The sequence below is a fragment of the Homo sapiens genome, chromosome 11 (assembly GCF_000001405.40).
Source record: "Homo sapiens chromosome 11, GRCh38.p14 Primary Assembly".
In the NCBI taxonomy this organism is placed as follows: Eukaryota; Metazoa; Chordata; class Mammalia; order Primates; family Hominidae; genus Homo; species Homo sapiens.
Window position 1 is genome coordinate 108,560,399 of NC_000011.10, and position 20,867 is coordinate 108,581,265.

Below are 20,867 nucleotides of genomic sequence, written 5' to 3' on the forward strand. Positions count from 1 at the left end.
CAAAGATGAGTGTGGCATTGAAACCCTTTTTATCCATCTACTGATAAACCAACTGACCTGACAAACCACTCCACCTCATCAGAAATTACTGCAGAATCACACGCCAAAGGGCTTTAACTTTGAGCATTCCTCTTGAATCCTTGCACTAAAGGTTATCATTAGAATGATTATTCTGCCTCGGTGATTCAAAACACACATATTGTTTTCATATGGTATTATCTCATCCAGAAGACCTTGTTAAGTTTTGTCTGTAGATGTAGTCACATTTATTTACCAAAACATACTCCTGAGAACCACTCCTGGAATAATTATAGAACAAAATCTGTACTTGGGGGTAAAATGAAATACTGCCAGCAGTACAAACGCAAGTGTCTACTCCAAATTATGTAACTTATTTATGGAAGTTTGATTTTGTGTAAAAGATATTTTTCTGGTAATGTCATTGTTATATGTTCTTATTATTCACTATCATTTTAACTTTCAGATTCTAGTATCTAAATTCCTCTTTCTCAATCTCAATAATAAAGTTTGTGATCATTCCCTATCATGTATTAAATAATTTATCATGAAATCTTAATGAGTTTTTGGAGAGAAGGCCTAAAAGAAGCTTTGTTACATGATATAAATAATAATATAACTAACATTGGAGGACATTATGCATTTTAAATAAATGTGTCTCAGTGCATCAAGAATAGGTACAAAATAATTGAACTCAGTCTGTAAACAATCAGCCTATTTCCCAAAAATGAAAAGACATGTCAATGCAAAGAAGCAGTAGTGCCAGGTGTGCTTTATAGAAGGAAAGAACTGTTTATTTGGTATATGTTTATGGTTGTAGCCTATTATTTATTAATAATGATCTTAGATTTTAAAAGACATCAACTATTTAGCTTTGATTCCCTTTGACATTATTGGCATAGAAAAAGAAATCTGGATATCTGATTCCCTCCATCTTGTTTTGTTTTGTTTTGTTTTGTTTTAAATCATTCTGGCATCTCTATTCTCTTTGCCAACACCCAAAAATAGCACTCGATCAAGCCACAGAAGTAATGAATTAAGCATGGTGGTAGATCTGTCTGAAAGATGTGGACCACTTTTCTAGCAAACAGGTATCCCATGAAGTGTTGGGAGTCTGTCCTACTCATAGTAAAGTGGTCATGGGTAGTTCCTGTGCTTTGCCTCGTGGGATCCAACATTTTTTGCATTCCTACCCTAATCACCCAAAAGCTAAACATGAGCAAGAATGCTGCCCAGTGAATTCTATTTGTTCTATTTTGGAGAGTGATTAACAACTTAATAACGTCTTTCCTCTTGGCATGTCTTAAAATCATAATGCCAAGTAAGACAAACTAAAGTGACATGGCTAAGAGACACATAGCGAGAAGGTATTGAGCAGTACCATGAAGAGAAGCCATCAGGCACCAGAGTCTTGAACAGGAGGAAGCTATGGGGCAGAGAGGAAACTTGCAAGAAGAAAATCAGCCCTGGCAATGGAAGTGAGTAGGGAGAAGCAGAACAGAGAAGCTGGACCACAAGCCTGTGGTTACTAGCCTGGTTGATTGATTGGCACCAGAATGCTGCAGTATTCTGATCAACATTCCGGTTCCTGAGGACTGGCCGTGCAGGGTTGAGGCCGTTTCCTGTGTTTCCTTACTTCTCCATTAGATCCTGACAATAAAGTGCCACCCATCCCTTGAGGAAACTGCTCTATGTTCCTTGTCACCTGAAAGAACATAATGAAAACATCCAGCCATAAGCAGCATGTAGGAATTTGTTCACAGAGGAATTCTCCAGCATTGATTGGGACAGGAAATTTCAAATGTCAATAAAACTGACTTTGCTTTGCCATTATACAATTTTTTCTGTGTTTTTTTTTTTTTTTTTTTGTAATTGTGAAAGTAAAATTACATCAGGCCGGGCTGGGTGGCTCACGCCTATAATCGCAGCACTTTGGGAGGTCGAGGTGGTGGATCACTTGAGGTCAGGAGTTTGAGACCAGCCTAGCCAACATGGAGAAACCCGTTCTCTACTAAACAACAACAAAAAAAAAGAATACAAAAATTAGCTGGGTATGCTGGTGCATACCTGTAGTCCCAGCTACTAGAGAGGCTGAGGTGGAAGAATTGCTTGAATCTGGGAGGGAGAGGTTGCAGTGAGCTGAGATCGCACCACTGCACTCCAGACTTGGCAGCAGAGCAAGACGCTGTTTCAAAAAAAGAAAGAAAGAAAGTAAAATTACATTCAATGCAAAAGACTTGGAAATTAAAGAAAAAACTTGAAGGGGCCGGGCATGGTGGCTCACACCTGTAATCCCAACACTTTGGGAGGCCGAGGCAGGAGGATCAAGTGAGCCCAGGAGTTCAAGGCCAGCCTGGGCAACATGGTGAGATCCTGTCTCCATTTAAAACAAACAAACAAACAAAAACTTGAATAAAAGAAATCACTCATAACTCCCACTGTCAGAGATACTGCTGTGTGTGTACATATGTTCATTCATGTGTTTTAAAGCAGTAGTCACAGGACTAGGACTCTGACTCAGTTTTAGCTAAAGCATGAAAGCAAGAGATTCAAGACATCTAAGGGAGTTGTGAGAAGACCAATCAGGAGAACTTGCTTTGTGGGATTTTTAAAAACAAACAAAAGCCAAATCTCTCTAGTTAGGGTTTAAGTCCCCTTACATGCATTGACTTGGAAGAGTGAAGACAGAGGGAGGATCTGTGAGGAGGCTTTCTCTAGAGCCAGGGAGCTTAACTGGTACGACTGGAAGAGCTTAATTTTGTCCCTTGTGGTTTGGAGGAAAGGTAGACTGGTATCTGCCTCCTGCCTGAGAAATTTGAGCTGGAGAAACTGGGGCCTGCCAGTTGCTTTGACTGCAGAATGAAGTGCATAGCTCAGCTGTCAATCAGCCCTCATTTCCAGGGTTTCTCAAGCAACCACAGTATGACTGTGTCCCGTGGAGAAGATGTGGGCCCCAGGAGAGGCTGAGGAGGCATGGGGTTCTCTTAGTTCATGCCTGCTAGAGTCAGCTCCAGGGGTGAATAAACCTGAGTAGAAAGAGGTTGTGGGTGAACCCCTGGATTCCTAGCACAGAGCAGGGGAGAGCACATTATCTGCATGGAAAGAGCTGCTGGGGAACAGTGCCGGGCCACGGGCCATCTCAGCAAACCCCAGACGAGCACACAAGAGAAGAGGCAGATTTAAACATCTGCCCTACCCAGAGAGAGTGATGCCACCTCACAACCATTCTAGTCAAGCAACAGCTTTTCTGCATGTGCCTTCCATCCAAACTTAAACCTGCCTCCCAGCCACCGTCCGGTTCAACCCTGGAACAGTAAAAAACCACCACTGAAGGGGTGGAGAGGCAGAGGTTGATGGGGAAAGGGAAAAGGATCAAATCCTCTTCACTGTCCTAGGCGTCGCTCTGCAGCAAGCGGTGGCTGTGTGAGGGGCTGCTCCTCTGAATAAAGCTGGGATTAATCTAGGACCGTATGTTCTAATTATCTCTGAATTGAGACTGTGTTTGTGTCTTAAAGTGACCAGAAAAGTCAAGGGACTGCCTTTGTTTGTATCCAGTGGCATTTAAAGGGATAGTAGGAGACGGCTGCACACGGTGGCTCATGCCTGTAATCCTAGAACTTTGGGAGGCTGAGGCGGACGGATCACTTGAGGTCAGGAGTTCGAGGTCAGCCTGGCCAACATGGTGAAACCCTGTCTCTACTAAAAATACAAAAAAAAATAAATTAGCTGGGCATGGTGGTGGGCATCTGTAACCCCAGTTATTCAGGAGGCTGAGGCAGGAGAATCGCTTGAACCCAGGAGGCAGAGGTTGCAGTGAGCTGAGATCGCACCACTACACTCCAGCCTGGGTGACAGAACAAGACGGTCTAAAAAAATAAAAAAGAAATAAAAGGATAGTAAGAGACAAAACTAAAGATGTTTTCTTGTTATATTCCATGATTCCTACTTGCTCCACATGTCAGTTATGTATGCCTGCATTTTCAAAAAATGCTCTTACCCTATGCATGCTTTGTGTAGTCTATGTTTCCCACTTAGCATTACATTAAGAATGCTATGCTATGTCAGTATTCCACCACTGCATCTCTGTACTGTAACATATGATCCTACTCCCCTCTCGTTGGAGTTATTTCTAATTTTTTAGAGTCATAATGTTGAAATAAACCCAGTTCAAAACTAGCATTGTGCCCATCTCTGATTAATTCCTTAGAATCAATTTCCTTGATGTGGAATTGCCAGGCCAAAGGATGAACATGTTTTAATGACTTATGAACTATATCACACCAAATTACCCTGGAAAAAGGTTGTATCAAATTTTCCCTTGTATGACGGTCCATTTCCCCATGTGCTTGCCAATGTTAGTTATGTCTATTCTTTTTGATCTTTGCTAATATGATAAGCCAAAAAAAGTTTTCTTTTTTTTTCTTTGTATTTCTTTGATTACTAGAGAGGTTGAACATTATTTATTATGTTTATTGGATATGTGTAGCTTTTTTTTTTTTTTTTTTAAGATGGAGTCTCACTCTGTCTCACTCAGGCTGGAGTGCAGTGGTGAGATCTCAGCTCACTGCAACCTCCGCCTCCCGGGTTGAAGCTATTCTCCTGCCTCGGCCTCCCGAGTAGCTGGGATCACAGGCACCCACCACCACGCCTGGCTAATTTTTGTATTTTTAGTAGAGATGGGGTTTCATCATGTTGGCCAGGCTGGTGTCAAACTCCTGACCTCAGGTGATCCGCCCACCTCCACCTCCCAAAGTGCCGGGATTACAAGCATGAGCCACCATGCCTGGCCTGTAGTTTTTGATAACTTATCTGCTCAATACCTTTGCTGATTATTTTAGCCCAGGTACCATTTAAAATATTGGTTCTATGAAATCCAAGGTAAAGAGCCAAGCAAATGGCAAAATTGGCAACTCTTGGCATTTGCTTCAGAGTGTAATTCACAGGCTAGTCTATTTCACACTAACTGGGGACTCAGATTGGCCACTACAGCACACCACAGATCAGTGCTGAATGTTGTCTTCAACACACCTAAGCTTCTTGGTTGTTTGCTTCCTATTGCTCTTGCCTTTCTTCAAGTTGCACGATCACTACAAAGAGAGGAATAATGTGGCCGAACCACACAGACATTAGTGTCATAGACACTCTCTGTCACTCTCTTCATCTTTTCCCAGCCAATTGCCCTGGGAATTGGCATGGTAGCATAAAATCACTGTCCGAGCTTACGTGAGGGTGCTGGGCCTGTGGTGTGGATAATCAGGTGAGGGGTTCTAATTCCTTTATTATTTGGGCTGATCAAATGACATCTATGTGTCTCATCTTCCTCATCTGTAAAGCTCAGTTCTTTGTCACCAGCCCCATGCTTACCTATCTGGACTTCTTTCCTATGACTCCGTCATTTAAACCCAGGGTGCCAACCATTCCAAGCACTTTGCCATGCTCTCTAGGCAACTTTCCAACTTTCTCTTTTGTTTACAATGCCCTTTCTACATATTCTTTGTCACACGATCTAACTTGTGCTGGCACTTAGCTAAAGGGTTGAAAAACGCCTTTTCAAGTGAGGAAAAAAAATCCAATTCAACCATAATGAGCACTTAAATGTGTAAGGATGATATGAAGACACTAGGAAATTCAGGATCTATTGGTGGAAAAAGATATGTACAAAGTAGCTATGATACAACACAGGACATGGTTGATAATATAATATTAATAGAAAATCAAGATTCTTGCTTTAGCATTATGAAGAAGGATAAGATTAATTCTAGCTAAAGGCTAGGAAAGAATTCATGAAGACAGGCCTTAAAAGACAATCGGAACTAGACTTGCTGGGGAATAAACTCCACTAAGGCTGGGTCTGAATCCATTATTGTTCATCATGAGTGATACTCATTCCCCAATGGATGAGTGGATAATATGGAAAGTAGGTAAGGTGTGCATGGAGGGGGGTGGTGGGGAATAAATGGGTGAAGGCTTTCATAGGCAGACTTTCCTTCTGAGTGAAGGAAGCTTTGTTTTTGTTTTGTTTGTTTTAAGTGGTTACAAAGTTTTTATTTGCTGGCCTTGCATCAAGAGAAACTGACCAAATGATGAGGTTGATTATTATCTATTAATAGTTTTATTACAGTCTTGTGTCACTGGGTTATAAATAAGAATTCCAGGCCGAGCATGGTGGCTCATGCCTATAATTCTAGCATTTTGGGAGGCCGAGGTGGGAGGATTGCCTGAGTCTAGGAGTTCAAGAATGGCCTGGGCAACATGGCAAAACCCCATCTCTAAAATAAATAAATAAATAAATAAATAATCCCAGCCCCTCTGAAATTCTCTCATTTTCTTTGATAGATGCATAGAAGAGGACTCAATACTAGGATCATGCAAGTCTTCTGGAGGCTTCCTATGCTCTCATGTAAAGAACAAGACTTGGAGGGGAAACTAAAGATTTCCTTTTGTGGTCTTTTGCCGGTCACTCAACACAGATAGCACCAACACACCACTGCGTTGTCACTCCCTGACACAACCTATTCAGCTGAGAGACAGAGCTAGGGAGAAAGGGGCCACAAAACCCTTTAACACAGATTTAACTTCTATTTTTATCAGAAATGATTTCATGCCTCTCTTCTATTTAACATTTACAGAATTCTAAAACAAAAACAGTTAACTTAAATCTCACTCTCTATGTGCAAGGTTGTTAAAAATTAGTGAACATTTAGTAGAAGTTACTGATGGTGAACAGACTGCTAAGGAAGGGAAGAGAAGGAAGTCAAGTGGGATGAAATCTGACAAGCCAGAGTTTACCCACAATAAACAAACACCAGCCTTCTTTAGGACTTTAGTTTCCAATATTGATATGAACAGTCTTTCTGAATTGAAGATTTACGTATTCCAACTCCTGATTATAGCACAATAAATGTGTTATGTAGAATTGGTTTAATGGAAGCATTAAGCCATAATTGGGAGTCATTCTCCTTTACCTACCTCCCACTTATCCACCTGCCACTTCAATGCCAGCCTCTATGAAGTTTTGCCTAATAATTTTAGCTCCAATCCATCTTTCTCTTCTCCAAAACCCTACCTCACTGCTGTCCATGCCACCCCTTAAGTACTTAGTCATGCGTAGCCTTATATTCTTGTTTGAATTCTCATGTCCTGTCCTCCCAAACAGATTATACATTTCTTGGGTCCCATACTTTGCATTTACCATAGCAGATTTCATAGCCCATACAAACATTAGGCCTTCAAAATATTTGTCAAGTATTTCTTCAATAAAAATGAAAACATCCCAAATCTTGATCCCCTAAATGTTAAATGGGACTTAGTTAAGCAAACTAACATCATGATATACTGGAAACAGGTATCTCTTTCCTTTACCCTTGTGCCTGCTGAAGATCTTATTCTCAGCCTTGCTGTTTTAAACTCAGGGGTGTGTGTACAACATATTTAAGCAAATTCTGGAATACCAAAGCCAAGCAGTCTTCCAGGGGCTTCATCCTGGCACACAGCAGCTTACCTGGTGGGTGTTGGGTAGCACACAGTAGAATGGCCGCTTTGTCTCTCTTGAGTGACTCTGGACAAGCTTCAAAACCAAAATCCACAGTGCCCTATCCTGGTGGGCAGAATACACTGAAGACAGGGGGTTTCCGACTCGCTGAAGACAAAACACCCTTCTGCTGACCCCGTACCAAAGGGGAGGGTGCCGGTGAAAGCCAGCTTGTTACTGCTTCAGGGAGGAGAAGCAGTTACTGAAATAAAGTGTCTTACTTTTTTTGGGAGGGGGGGAGGGCGTCTCAATAATCAGTTGGCCTTAATTATTTTTGCTTAGAATAGGAGAGATAAAGCTCCTGACTGAAGTCCAAAGCTGCAGGGGAGGAAATGACCAGGCACGCGGGTTCCTCTGGCTCGCTGGGCACCTGCTGCCTGGCAGGCTGCTCACCATGGCTGGCCGGCGTGGTGGTTCCTGAGAACCAATCGGTTCCCCCCTCTACTGTCAGGTGGCTGCTCTCAGCTTCTCTCCCAGAAGTCCTTCACCAGGCCATCTGGAGCCGAGGAACAAGTTCCAAGTTCTCTTGGCCAGAATTCTGCTTTGAAATCTGTCCACACCTCCCCCCAACCCCCAGTCTTGGTCACAGGCCTAAAATTTGACCTCAATCGCTGAGAAATAATGTACAACAAGAGATCTGCCTTTAAATATTTCAAAGTTGATGGAAGAGTTGATGTCCTTTAGTATTCAGATATATTACCTTACCCTGGAATCACAAAGTATAGAGTCCACTTGGACCCACTCGTTTCAGCAGTAGGTCAAATGCCATAAACTCATCAAAGCCAGAAACCTGAGTTCATATGAGCTCTCCTTTCTCCTTCCTCCTGCAGCCAGTCAGCCACCAAGCCCTGCTAATTCGACTTTCCAAATATTTATTAAATCACTTGCCTTCTCTTCCTCCCTAATCGAGGCCCCTAAACACAATTCTTCCCTAATCCAGGCTTCACTCACCACCCATGGCCATCCACCTAATTTGACCTGGTCATTCAGTGACTCTAAACATTTCAGTGGCTCCTCCTCCCCTCCAGTTTTGTCAAGCTCAGGGGCCTCGGCTCAGCACACAGGTCCACGTCCCACCCTGCCACCCCAGCTCACTCTTTTGCTTGTGGCTTCCTCTCACGTTGCACTCTGGTGACATTCACTACGATGGTGTCTGCATCTCCCTGTAGTCTTTCACATCTTTATGGCTTGCCTAATGTTGTTCACTCCACTTGCTGTTCACTTCACCTTTATTCACCTGTTACCTCCTTCAAGACTCAGTTCAGGCACCACCACCTCCAGCAAGTCTTCTTTGAGACTTCCCATGAAGTTAAATTACCTCTGCGGCCCTCTGTGTGACTATCTTATCATTCGTCACGTTATAGTGAATGTACTATTTCTATTTATTTATTATTATTTTCTTATTTTTTGGAGACAGAGCCTCTCTCTGTCACGCAAGCTGGAGTGCAATGGTGTGATCTCAGCTCACTGCAACCTCCGCCTCCTAGGTTCAAGCGATTCTCCTGCTTCAGCCTCCCGAGTAGCTGAGATTGCAGGCACACGCCACCATGCCTGGCTAATTTTTGTATTTTGAGTAGAGACAGGGGTTTCACCATGTTGGCCAGGCTGGTCTCGAACTCCTCACCTCGTGATCCGCCCTCTTCAGCCTCCAAAAATGCTGGGATTATAGGCGTGAGCCACTGCTCCTGGCCTGAATGTACTGTTTTTAAACCCACCTCCTTCACGGCATTGAAAGCTTACAAAGAACATTTGTATATCTCCGGTACCAGGTTCACAGTAGGATCTCAAATATATCTGCTAAATAAGTGAGTGCTGTTGAACAGAAATGTTATTGAATCATGATATGGAAAAAAAAATCTATGGGGCTCTCACTTTACAGAGGAACACGGAGGTGCCTAGACCTCTGACTCCTGATGCTGTGAGGCACTGGCAGGAGGGTCTTGGGACAGTGACAGTTTCCAAAGACAACTGCCTCAATGCTGCAAATGGAGGAGCTTATCATACCCGGCAGCTCCAAGAAAAAGGTAAAATTGCAGTGCTACTCCCAATGCTTAATGTTGATGGTTGACCTGCAATCAAAAACTCCAAATGACTGTCTACCTTCCAGAAAGGAAAGCAGATCTGAGCCAAGAGAGTAACTAGGGCCTGGCCTGCCTCCTGAAATGGCCCAGGCCCCTGGAGGTATGGAATCTTCCAGCTTTAGGAGACTGCCACCTGTGAGTGTCTGCAGCACCTCAGAGATGAAGTTCAGGTAAGCTGAGAACAGAATAGCATTTTTAATTTTTATTATTTTAAAAAATAAAAAAAATTATTTTTTATTTTTTTGAGATGGAGTCTCATTCTGTCTCCCAGGCTGGAGTGCAGTGGTACAATCTTGGCTCACTGCAACCTCCGCCTCCTGGGTTCAAGCAATTCTCCTGCCTTAGCCTCCTGAGTAGCTGGGATCACAGGCACATGCCACCATGCCCAGCTAAGTTTTGTATTTTTAGTAGAGATGGGGTTTCATTATGTTGGCCAGGCTGGTCTCAAACTCCTGACCTTAAGTGATTTTCCTGCCTCAGCCTCCTAAAGTGCTGGGATTACAGGTGTGAGCCACTGCGCCTAGCTTATTTTTAAGAGATAAGATCTCACTCTGTTGCTCGGGCTGCAGTGCAGTGGCGTGGTCAGCTCACTGCAATTTCAAACTCCTGTGCTCAAGCGATTCTGCCACCTCAGCCTCTTAAACAGCTGGAACTACAGGCATGTGCCACCATGTCCGGCTAATTTTTAAATTATTCTGCAGAGATGGGGGTCTCGCTACGTTGTTCAGGCTGGTCTTGAACTCCTGGCTTCAAGTGATCCTCCTACCTTGACCTCCCAAAGTGTTGGGATTACTGGCATGAGCCACCAAAAAGTATTATCACTTTAATAATAAAACTATCATTGTTTTGGAGAACTGTTTGGAAATTGTGGCATTTACAATATTTGTGAGGTGGGTTTTAGACACGTGCAAGTTGTTTTTAAGAAAAGATTTACATTTATGTATTGTTTTGTGACTGTGAACTCTCCTTAAGGCTCTGGAAGGCCCAGGACAAGGTGTTATAAGCTGACACATGGGGGAAATGAAAGGAAGTCTAAGGAAGAAGCTGGAGCCTCAGCTCGGTGGAACTGGGAATACAAAGAGCTGGGTAGAGCTGTCTGAGGGTGAGGCCTGGTGTGGCTTTGAAGGTGGAGACAGCTACCCTGGAGGGAGTGTGTTACTCATAAACCTTTTAAAGACTTGCCTGGATGGTAGAGGCAAAGCAATTACACAACCGTGGATAGACATGACCTAATTTATTGGCCTTCCCAGTTACCTACTGTGGAGCCAGTGCTATACCATAACCCACAACTAAGAATGAATTTTGGTGGAGTGAGGAGGGGTGTTGCTGAGAATAGGGGAGAAACTGATGTCCTTAAGGAGGAAGAGGCACTGGGAAACAGACCAGAGTGCAGAGAGGTGGACAGACTCTCCTTGATGCACTCCCCATGGAGAAGGCCATTGTCAGAATTCCGCCTGCTTTTTCTACTCTGAGGAGTGAAGAGCTTTTTTTACTCTGAGGCGTGAAGCCCTTAATACCACCACTTAGAGGACGACTTTGGGCAAACAGAGCTCTCACTTGGCCCCTGGTAATGCTGAAGGGGAGCTCCCAAGGGCAAACTCGAGTGCAAATGTAGTAATTCAGCCAGCAACTGAGACCTCCCCTCAAATATGTACAATCCCAAAAGTCATTTTCAGACACCTTTTTGACATCTGAAGAAGGGAACCACACATAAAATACATGACAGCAATGTTTAAAATAGTCATTGAACAGGCTGGGGCGGTGGCTCACGCTTGTAATCCCAGCACTTTGGGAGGCCAAGGCGGGCGGATCATGAGGTCAGGAGATCGAGACCACAGTGAAACCCTGTTTCTACTAAAAATACAAAAAATTAGCCAGGCGTGGTGGCGGGCGCCTGTAGTCCCAGCTACTCGGAGAGGCTGAGGCAGGAAAAAAGGCGTGAACCCGGGAGGCGGAGCTTGCAGTTAGCCGAGATAGCACCACTGCACTCCAGCCTGGGTGACAGAGCGAGACTCTGTCTCCAAAAAAAAAAAAGGCATTGAACATAACTGCTCAGTTTGAGCCAATGTGAGCAACTACAGTGGAGTTCAAAGAAGCCAGTTCACAAGGCCAGGATCTAACCAGCTTGTGGGCACGACAGCATTTGTGTTTATGCATAACCTACACCAAGTGCGCAGTGAAACAAAACCAAAACAACCAAAAGTAAAAAGTGATTCTTTACAGTTGCCTGACTAAATAGCTCCGGGGCAGAAGAACCCTTTGATCCTGCCAAGCAGTTTTAAAGCAGCAAAGTACTCCACACGTTTACTCACTGTCCCCTGACTGGTTTCTCTGCTGCTTTTTATCTCTGTGGAACCAATCTACTGCATCACTTTCTGTTTTCCTAGTTGGACCCTGACTGATGTGCAGACAATGATCTCCTAAGGATCCTTACCAGCCCACCTGTGAGTGGAAACATTAAATTCACAACATGTGAGGTTCTTATTTTGTTTGCTTTCTTGTCTAGCAATTTTTATTTTTAGTTTTAGTTATTGATTTATTTATTTTGAGACAGAGTTTTCCTCTTGTTGCCCAAGCTGCAGTGCAATGGCGTGATCTCAGCTCACTGCAACCTTTGCCTCCCAGGTTCAAGCGATTCTCCTGCCTCAGCCTCCCGAATAGCTGGGGTTACAGGCACCTGCCACCATGCCCAGCTAATTTTTGTATTTTTAGTAGAGATGGGGTTTCACCATGTTGGCCAGGCTGGTCTTGAACTCCTGACCTTAGGTGATCCACTCGTCTCGGCCTCCTAAAGTGCTGGGATGACAGGCATGAGCCACTGCACCCAGGCCCATGTCTAGTAATACTGTTAGTCATTTACCTCTGCAATTAAGTAATTTTTGAAGTAAATTAATTTTGATACAAGTTAAAAAACGGGCTGCTCGTGTCTGTAATCCTAGCAGTCTGGGAGGACGAGGCAGGAGGATTGCTTGAGCCCAGGAGTTTGAGACCAGTCTGAATAATATAGAGAGAACTTGTCTCAAAAAAATGTTGAAAAAAATAAGAGAGAGAGAGAGAGAGAAAGGAAGGAAGGAGAGAAAGAAAGAAAAAGAAAAGAAGGAAGGAAAGAAGGAAAGAAAGAAAGAAAGAAAGAAAGAAAGAAAGAAAGAAAGAAAGAAAGAAAGAAAGAAAAAGAAAGAAAGAAAGAAAGAAAGGGAAAGCAAACCAGCAAGGAAGCAAGCAAGCAAGCGAGGGAGAAAGAAAAGGAGTCTACCACCCTACCAGGGTACTGATTTGACCAGCAAAACAACCAGATCTAAATGACAATCAGTCCACTTGATGGAGACCTCATGATGAATGGTCTACCCTTGGTTGGGTTTGCCACCTGACGTAGAAAATGGGAAGAGGAAAAAAACTGAAACACAATTAATGAACTATGTATGTTGTATAGGTATAACAACAATCACACTTCTCTGTATGAAAGCTGTGTTTTCCCCTGTGATTTCCTTCTGAGATTTTATACAAACTGGTGCTATAGCATTTCGCCTCATCAACTCTTTGTGGTTATTTGGTTGCTACAGTCTTTTCCCTAAAGGGAATTATCAAGGGCCTCAGAAGGAGATGGAAATCAATGGTACTATGACAATTTGCCAACTATTTGAAAAAAATAAATTTATATAATCCTAACTTATAGACAAAATATATGTCAGGTGAATAAAAAAGTTACATTAAAAATTAAGACGAAGTGAATATTACTCTAATCTCTAGATGAGAAGAGTATTCTCATCTTAAAAACAAAAGGTGAAGCAGGAGGATCACTTGAGGCCAGGGGTTTGAGACCAATGTAGGCAACATAGTGAGACCTTGTCTTTACAAAAAGATTTTATTTTATTTATTTATTTATTTATTTTTGAGACGGAGTCTCACTCTGTTGCCCAGGCTGGAGTGTAGTGGCACGATCTCGGCTCACTGCAAGCTCCGCCTCCCGGGTTCACACCATTCTCCTGCCTCAGCCTCTGGAGTAGCTGAGACTACAGGCGTTCGCCACCACGCCCGGCTAATTTTGTGTGTTTTTTTTTTTTTAGTAGAGACGGGGTTTCACCATGTTAGCCAGGATGGTCTCGATCTCCTGACCTCCTGATTCACTCGCCTTAGCCTCCCAAAGTGCGGAGATTACAGGCGTGAGCCACCGCGCCCAACCTACAAAAAGATTTTTAAAAAATTAGCTGGGTGTGGTGGTGCACGTTCATAGTCCTAGCTACTCAGGAGGCTAAGGCGGGAGATCACTTGAGTCTAGGAGTTAGAGGTTACAATGAACTGTCATTACACCACTGCACTGCAGCCTGGGTGACAGAACAAGACCATCTCAAAAAAAAAAAAAGGAAATTTAAAAAGAGGTACATTTGGCTACATAAAACTGAGAAAAAATCTATTTTCAGATAAAGAGAAGTGTGCAAACTGAAACCTGGGAAATACACAGGACAAAAGTCAATTTCTTTAATGTGTAGTGAAATATATAAATCAATAAGACACAAACCACACCAAGCCATATTAAACAGTGTTGACTGCCTTCTAGAATGCATTTCCCTCAACTCCCCTCCTTTCTGATTTTGTTGTCAACATCAGAGTGTTCAATCTCAGGGGATGGATCATGTGTGGTCAAAGTCTGATATTTCAATCCCATTTCTTGCTTTTCTAATTCCCTTGCAGCTAAGGATGACCATATGACATGGTTCTGGTCAAGGAAATATAAAGTAGAAATCTGCTCGAAGGCATCACAGAAGGCCTTTACTTCCATGATAAAAAGGACTCTTCTTGGATATATACCCAAAAGAAGCAGTTGTCACCACTATTTCCTTTTTCTTTCTGCCTCGAATATGAATGTGATGTCTGGAGCAGCTGCAGCTATTTTGCGTTACAAAGGCACCATTCTAACATACTTAAACCACTAAACCAGCTGGCAGCTACCTACTTCCAGATGTATTCTTATGTCAGAAAAATGTACCCCCGATTTGTTAAAGTCATGGTTAGATTTTCTGTTATTTGTGACCAGAAGCTTTCTGGATACAGATCCTCATATATAAATGGGTAGCTATGTGAATAGACAATTCACAAATCAAGAAATGTGAATAGTAAACATATGAAAATAGTTTAAGTTCATTATAATCACAGCATTAGAAATTAAATGAAGCATAATTTTTTTTCCCACAAAATTGGCAAAGAGTTTTAAAAAGTAATACCACCATCCAGGGATAGAAAGGATTCGTTAAAACAAAGGCCTTCCCGCACTGCCAGTGAAGGTGCAATTTGGTAGAACACTTGGAAAGCAGTTTGGTAACATGTAATGAGAACTTAGAAAACATCTATATTATTTACATGAGTAATTCTACTTTTTGGAATTTACCCTTGAGATAATTTAAACTGAATTAAGAATGTAAGCATAAAGGCTTGCCAGTGTTACTTAATGTAGCAATAAGAAACAAATAGAATAAGAAAACACTAAAGTGACTAAAATATTGGAATGGTTAACTAAATTATAGAATATATGCAGTAGAATAGTATACAACCACAAAAGTTATGTTGACCCTGAATCTTCAGTATGAAGGGGTTATTTTTATGTTATGATGTTCATAAATAACAAAAATACCTAAGACCACAACTGTGTTAAAAGTAATGTGGGCGAAGGCTGGGTGCGGTGGCTCATGCCTGTAATCCCAGCACTTTGGGAGGCCGAGGCAGGCAGATCACTTGAGGTCAGGAGTTCAAGAACAGCCTGACCAACATGGCAAAAACCCATCTCTACTAAAAATACAAAAATTAGCCGGGTGTGGTGGCACATGCCTGTAGTTCCAGCTACTCGGGTGGTTGAGACAGGAATATCCAGGCAGAGGTTGTAGTGAGCCGAGATCACACCACTGCACTCCAGCCTGGGCGACAGAATGAGACTCCGTATCAAAATAAATTAATTAATTAAATAAAATAAAATGACATGGGGGTAACAGTTTGACAATTCCTCAAAAAGTTAAACATAGAATTACCATATGTTCCAGTAATTCCATTCCTACCTATATACTCTGGAGAACTGAGAACAGGTACTCAAACAAATACTTGTGAGACAATTGTTCATAGCAGCATTATTCACAATAGCCAAAATATGGAAACAACTCAAATGTCTATCAATGGATGAATAGATAAATAAATTGTGGCATATGCATACAATAGATTATTATTCAGTCAAGAAAAGGAATAAAGTATTAATACATGTTATAAGGTGGATGAACCTCAAAAACATTACACTAAGTAAAAGAAGACAGACAAAAATTATATAATTCCATTTACATGAAATATCCAGTATAGGTAAACCCATGGTTGCTAGTAGTTGAGGGGAGGTGGGAATGAAGAGTAACTGTTTAATGGGTTCTATTTTGGGTTGATGAAAATGTTTTGGTACTAGATAGAGGGGGTGATTGTACAACATTGTTAATGTACAAAATGCCAATGAATTGTTAGCTTTAAAGTGGATAGTTTTATGTTATATTAATTTAACTTCAATAAAATTTTATTTTTCATTCTTTTTTGAATTTGCTTCTAATTTTTATGGATATATAGTAGTTGCACATATTTATGGGATACATGTGATATTTAATATAAGAATACAATGTGTAATGATCAAATATGAGTAAGTAAGATATCCATTGCCTCAAGCATTTATCATTTCTTTGTGTTGGAAACATTCCAGATCTTTACTTCTAGCTATTTTGAAGTGTACAATAAATTATAAACTCGTTTCCTTATTGTGCTATCAAACACTAGATATTATTCCTTCTATCTAACTGTATTTTTGTGCCTTCTAGCCAAGTCCTTTTCATCCTCCCTTCCCCACTACCTTTCCCAGCCTCTTGTAATCATCCTTCTATTCAATACCTCCATATGACTAACTCTTTTAGCTCCCATATATGAGTGAGAATATGTGATATTTGTATTTCTGTACTAGGCTTATTTCACTTAATATAATATCTTCCAGTTCCATCTATATTGTTGCAAATCATAGGATTTAGTTCCTTTTCTATGGCTGAATAATATCCCATTATGTACACTAATGTATATACACTACATTTTCCTTATTCATTCATCCATTCATGAACATGTAGGTTGATCTGTATCCTGGCTATTGTGAATAGTGCTGCAATAAACATGGAAGTGCAGAGATCTTTTTGATACACTGATTTCCTGTCTTTTGAATATGTACCTAGCAATGGGATTGCTGGATCATATGGTAGTTCTATTTGTAGTTTTTTGAGGAACCTCCAAACTGTTATCCATAGTGGCTGTACTAATTTACATTCTCATCACCATCTGTTATTTTCTGTCTTTTTGATAATAGCCATTTTATTTTATTTTATTTTATTTATTTATTTTTTGTTTTTTTTGGTGAGACGGAGATTTACTCTTGTTGCCCAGGCTGGAGTGCAATGGCGCGATCTCGGCTCACTGCATCCTCTGCCTCCCAGGTTCAAGTGATTCTCCTGCCTCAGCCTCCCGAGTAGCTGGAATTACAGGCATGTGTCACCACGCCCGGCTAATTTTGTATTTTTAGTAGAGACAGGGTTTCGCCGTGTTGCCCAGGCTGATCTCGAACTCCTGACCTCAGGTAATCTGCCCGCCTCGGCCTCCCAAAGTGCTGGGATTACAGGCGTGAGCCACTGCGCCTGGCCAGATAATAGCCATTTTAACTGGGGTGAAATGATATTTCATTGTAGTTTTGATTTGTATTTCCCTGATAATTAGTGATGTTTAGCATTTTTTCATATGCCTATTGGCCACTTGCATGTATTTTTTTGAGAAGTGTCTATTCAGATCTTTCGTCCATTTTAAAATTTGATTTTTTTTTGCTATTGAGTTGCTTGAGTTCCTTACATATTCTGGTTATTAATCCCTGTTGGATGAATAGCTTGCAAATATTTTCTCTCATTCTGTAGGTTGTCTCTTCATGATGTTGATTGTTTCTTTGCTGTGGAGAAGCTTTTTAGCTTGATATAATCACATTTGTCAATTTTTGCTTTGGTTGCCTGTCCTTTTGACGTCTTACTCAAATATTTGCCCAGACCAATGTCCTGGAGCATTTCTCCTACATTTTCTTCTAGTAGTTTCATAGTTTGAAGTCTTAGATTTAAGTCTTTAATCCACTTTGATTTGATTTTTGTATATGGTGAGAGATAGGGGTCTACTTTCATTCTTCTGCATATGGATATTCAGTTTTCCCAGCACCATCCATTGAAGAGGGATCCTTTCCCCATTGTATATTCTTGGCACATTTGTTGAAAATGAGCTGGCTGTAAATGTGGATTTATTTCTGAGTTTTCTATCCTGTTCCATTGGTCTATGTGTCTGTTTTCATGCCAGTACCATGTTATTTTAGTTACTGCTGCTTTGTAGTATATTTTGAAGTCAGGTGATGTGATGACTTCAGCTTTGCTCTTTTTTGCTCAGGATTCATTTGGCTATTCTGGGTCTTTTGTGGTTCCATCTTCATTTTAGGTTGTTTTTCTATTTCTGTGAAGAATTTCATTGATATTATAATAGGTATTGCATTGATTCTATAGATCACTTTGTGTAGTATGGGTATTTAAACAATACTAATTCTTCCAATCCATGAGCATGGGCAACCTTTCCATTTGTTTATGTCCTCTTCACTTTCTATCATCAGCGTTTTATAGTTTTCATTGTAGAGATCTTTCAGTTCTTTGGTTAAGTTTATTCCTTTATTTGTAGTTATTGTAAATGAGATTGTTTTTTAGATTGTTCAATGTTGGCATATAGAAATGATTTTTGTATGGTGATTTTGTATCCTGCAACTTGACTGAATTCTTTTATCAGTTCTAACAGCTTTTTTGCAGAGTCTTTAGGATTTTTGTTTTAAATGTAAGATCATATTGTCTGAAAACAAGAACAATGATTTCTTTCTTTCCAATTTGGATGCCCTTTATTTCTTTCTCTTGCCTAATTGCTCTAGCTAGGACTTCCAGTATTCTGTTGAACTAAAAGTAGTGAAAGGGGTATCCTTGTCTTGTTCCAGATCTTAGAGGAAAGGCTTTCAGTTTTCCCCCACTCAGTATGATGCTAGCTGTGGGTCTGTCCTATATTGCTTTGATTGTTTTGAGGTATGCTCCTTCTATATGCAGTTTGTTGAGAGTTTTTTTTTTTTTTATCATGAAGAGATGTTGAATTTTAATGAATGCTTTTTTGACATCTATTAAAATGATCATATGGTTTATGCCCTTGATTCTACCAATGTGATACATCATGTTTATTAACTTGCATATGTTGAACCATCTTTGCATCCCAGGGATGCATCCCGCCTGATTATAATGAATGACCATTTTAACGTGTTGTTGAATTCAGTTTGCTAGTATTTTGTTATTTTTGCATTGATGTTTATTAGTTATTGGCTTATAGTTTTCTTTCCTCACTGTGTCTTTGTCTGGTTTTGGTATGAGGGTAATGTTGGCCTTATACAATTAGTTTGGAAGTAAAAAAAAAAAAAAGTAAATATGGGGAGTTCTGCTTCCAGATAAGATAGAGTAAGTGCTTTCACCCTGTCTCTCCTAGGAAATATAGCCATAGAACCTGGTCACAAGGCACAGAACAGATATCTGATAAGTAAATTGTAGTAGGCAAATTGTGAAAGAATGTAAAATACCACTGAAACTGCTGTGAATTTACTTTTTTCCCTCTCCTCCACTATACCCTGATTTGGACTCAGAGTAGTGCAAAACCCAGAAATGAGCATTGGTGCAAATGGAGAGAGTTCCAGGAAAAGCCCCCTAGTTCAGGTTTGAGGAGTAGGAAAAGGGTTTTCTGGCAGCAACAGCAGTGGTAGCTGGGGCGCATACACACTAAAACTCTCAGGGAAGGGAATCTTCCCTTCGAATTAGAGGAGCTAGGAGAAAATATAGAGGAAATACTTCAGGACATTGGTCTGGGGAAATATTTTATGAATAAGACCTCAAAAACATAGGCAACAAAAGTAAAAATAAACAAATGGGATTATATAAAACTCAAAAGCTTCTTCACATCAAAAGAAACAATCAACAGAGTGAAAAGATAACCTGCAGAGTGGGAGAAAATATTTGCAAACTACTCATCCAAAAGGGAATTAATATCCAGAATACACAATAAATTGAAACACCTCAACAGCAAAAAAGCTGACAATCCAATTTAAAAATGGGCAAATGATCTGAATAGACACTTCTCAAAAGAAGACATACAAATGGGTGAGAAATACATGAAAAAGATGCTCAACATCACTAATCATCAGGGAAATGCAAATCAAAACTATAATGAGGCATCATCTCAGTATGGTTAGAATAGCTATTATCAAAAAGGAAAAAAAAAATAACAAATGCTGGTGAGGATGTGGAGAAAAGGGAACTCTTATACACTGTTGGTGGGGAATGCAAACTAGTATAGCCACTATGGAGAACAGTATGGAAGGTCCTTCAAGACACTACATATAGAATACCATATGATCCAGCAATTCCACTGCTGGGTATACCCAAAAGAAAGGATATCAGTATATTAAAGAGATAGCTATACTTCTATATTTATTGCGGCACTATTCACAATAGCCTAGATATAGAATCAACCTAGGTATCCAACAGATGAATGGATAAAGAAAATGTGGCATATATATACTGTAGAATACTATTCAGCCATAAAAAGAATGAGATCTTGTCATTTGTGGCAACATGGATGAAACTGGATGACATTATGTTAAGTGAAATAAACCAAGAACACAAAGCTAAACACCACACGTTCTCACTCATAAGTGGAGGCTTAAAAAAGCTGACGTCATAGAAGTAAAAAGTAGAATAGAAGATATTAGAGGCTGGGAATGGGGAAAGGAAGGAGAAGGAGAGACTTGTTAAAGGATATAAAATTCCAGCTAGAGAGGAGGAATAAGTTTTACTGTCTACAGCACTGTGGGATGACTATAGGTATTTAATAACATTAATATGGCTGGGCATGGTGGCTCATGCCTGTCATCCCAGCACTTTGGGAGGCTGAGGCAGGTAGATCACTTGAGCTCAGGAGTTTGAAAGCCCAGGCAACATGGCGAAACCCTGTCTTTACAAAAAATAGAAAAATTAGCCAGGCGTGGTGGTGAGTACCTGTAGTCCCAGCTACTAGGGAGGCTGAGGTGGAAGGACTACTTGAGGCCAGGAGGTGGAGGTTGCAGTGAGCCCAGATTGCACCAC

The 20,867-nt window shown here is 40.9% G+C and overlaps 1 protein-coding gene across 15 annotated transcripts in view, besides 1 other annotated feature; it reads right to left on the reverse strand.

Annotated features, from left to right (window-relative positions):
- The window catches only part of EXPH5 (exophilin 5), a 102,102-nt gene that overhangs the window by 54,964 nt on the left and 26,271 nt on the right, over nt 1-20,867 (reverse strand). For 4 of the 15 annotated variants that reach the window (NM_001441074.1, NM_001441068.1, XM_017017400.2 and 1 more), the window contains exon 1: nt 7,520-7,753. The exons of the other annotated variants lie outside the window; for them this stretch is intronic. The gene's annotated coding sequence lies outside the window, so the exon portion shown is untranslated. Of the gene's footprint in view, nt 1-7,519; nt 7,754-20,867 lie in introns of those variants that run through there. 15 annotated transcript variants of the gene reach the window in all.
- Nucleotides 2,766-2,875: an enhancer, noted in NCBI's record as "active region_5488". NCBI's record gives its function as "activates an Ori minimal core promoter by ATAC-STARR-seq in GM12878 lymphoblastoid cells {active_cell/tissue: GM12878}" and the evidence as "EXISTENCE:reporter gene assay evidence [ECO:0000049][PMID:35858748]".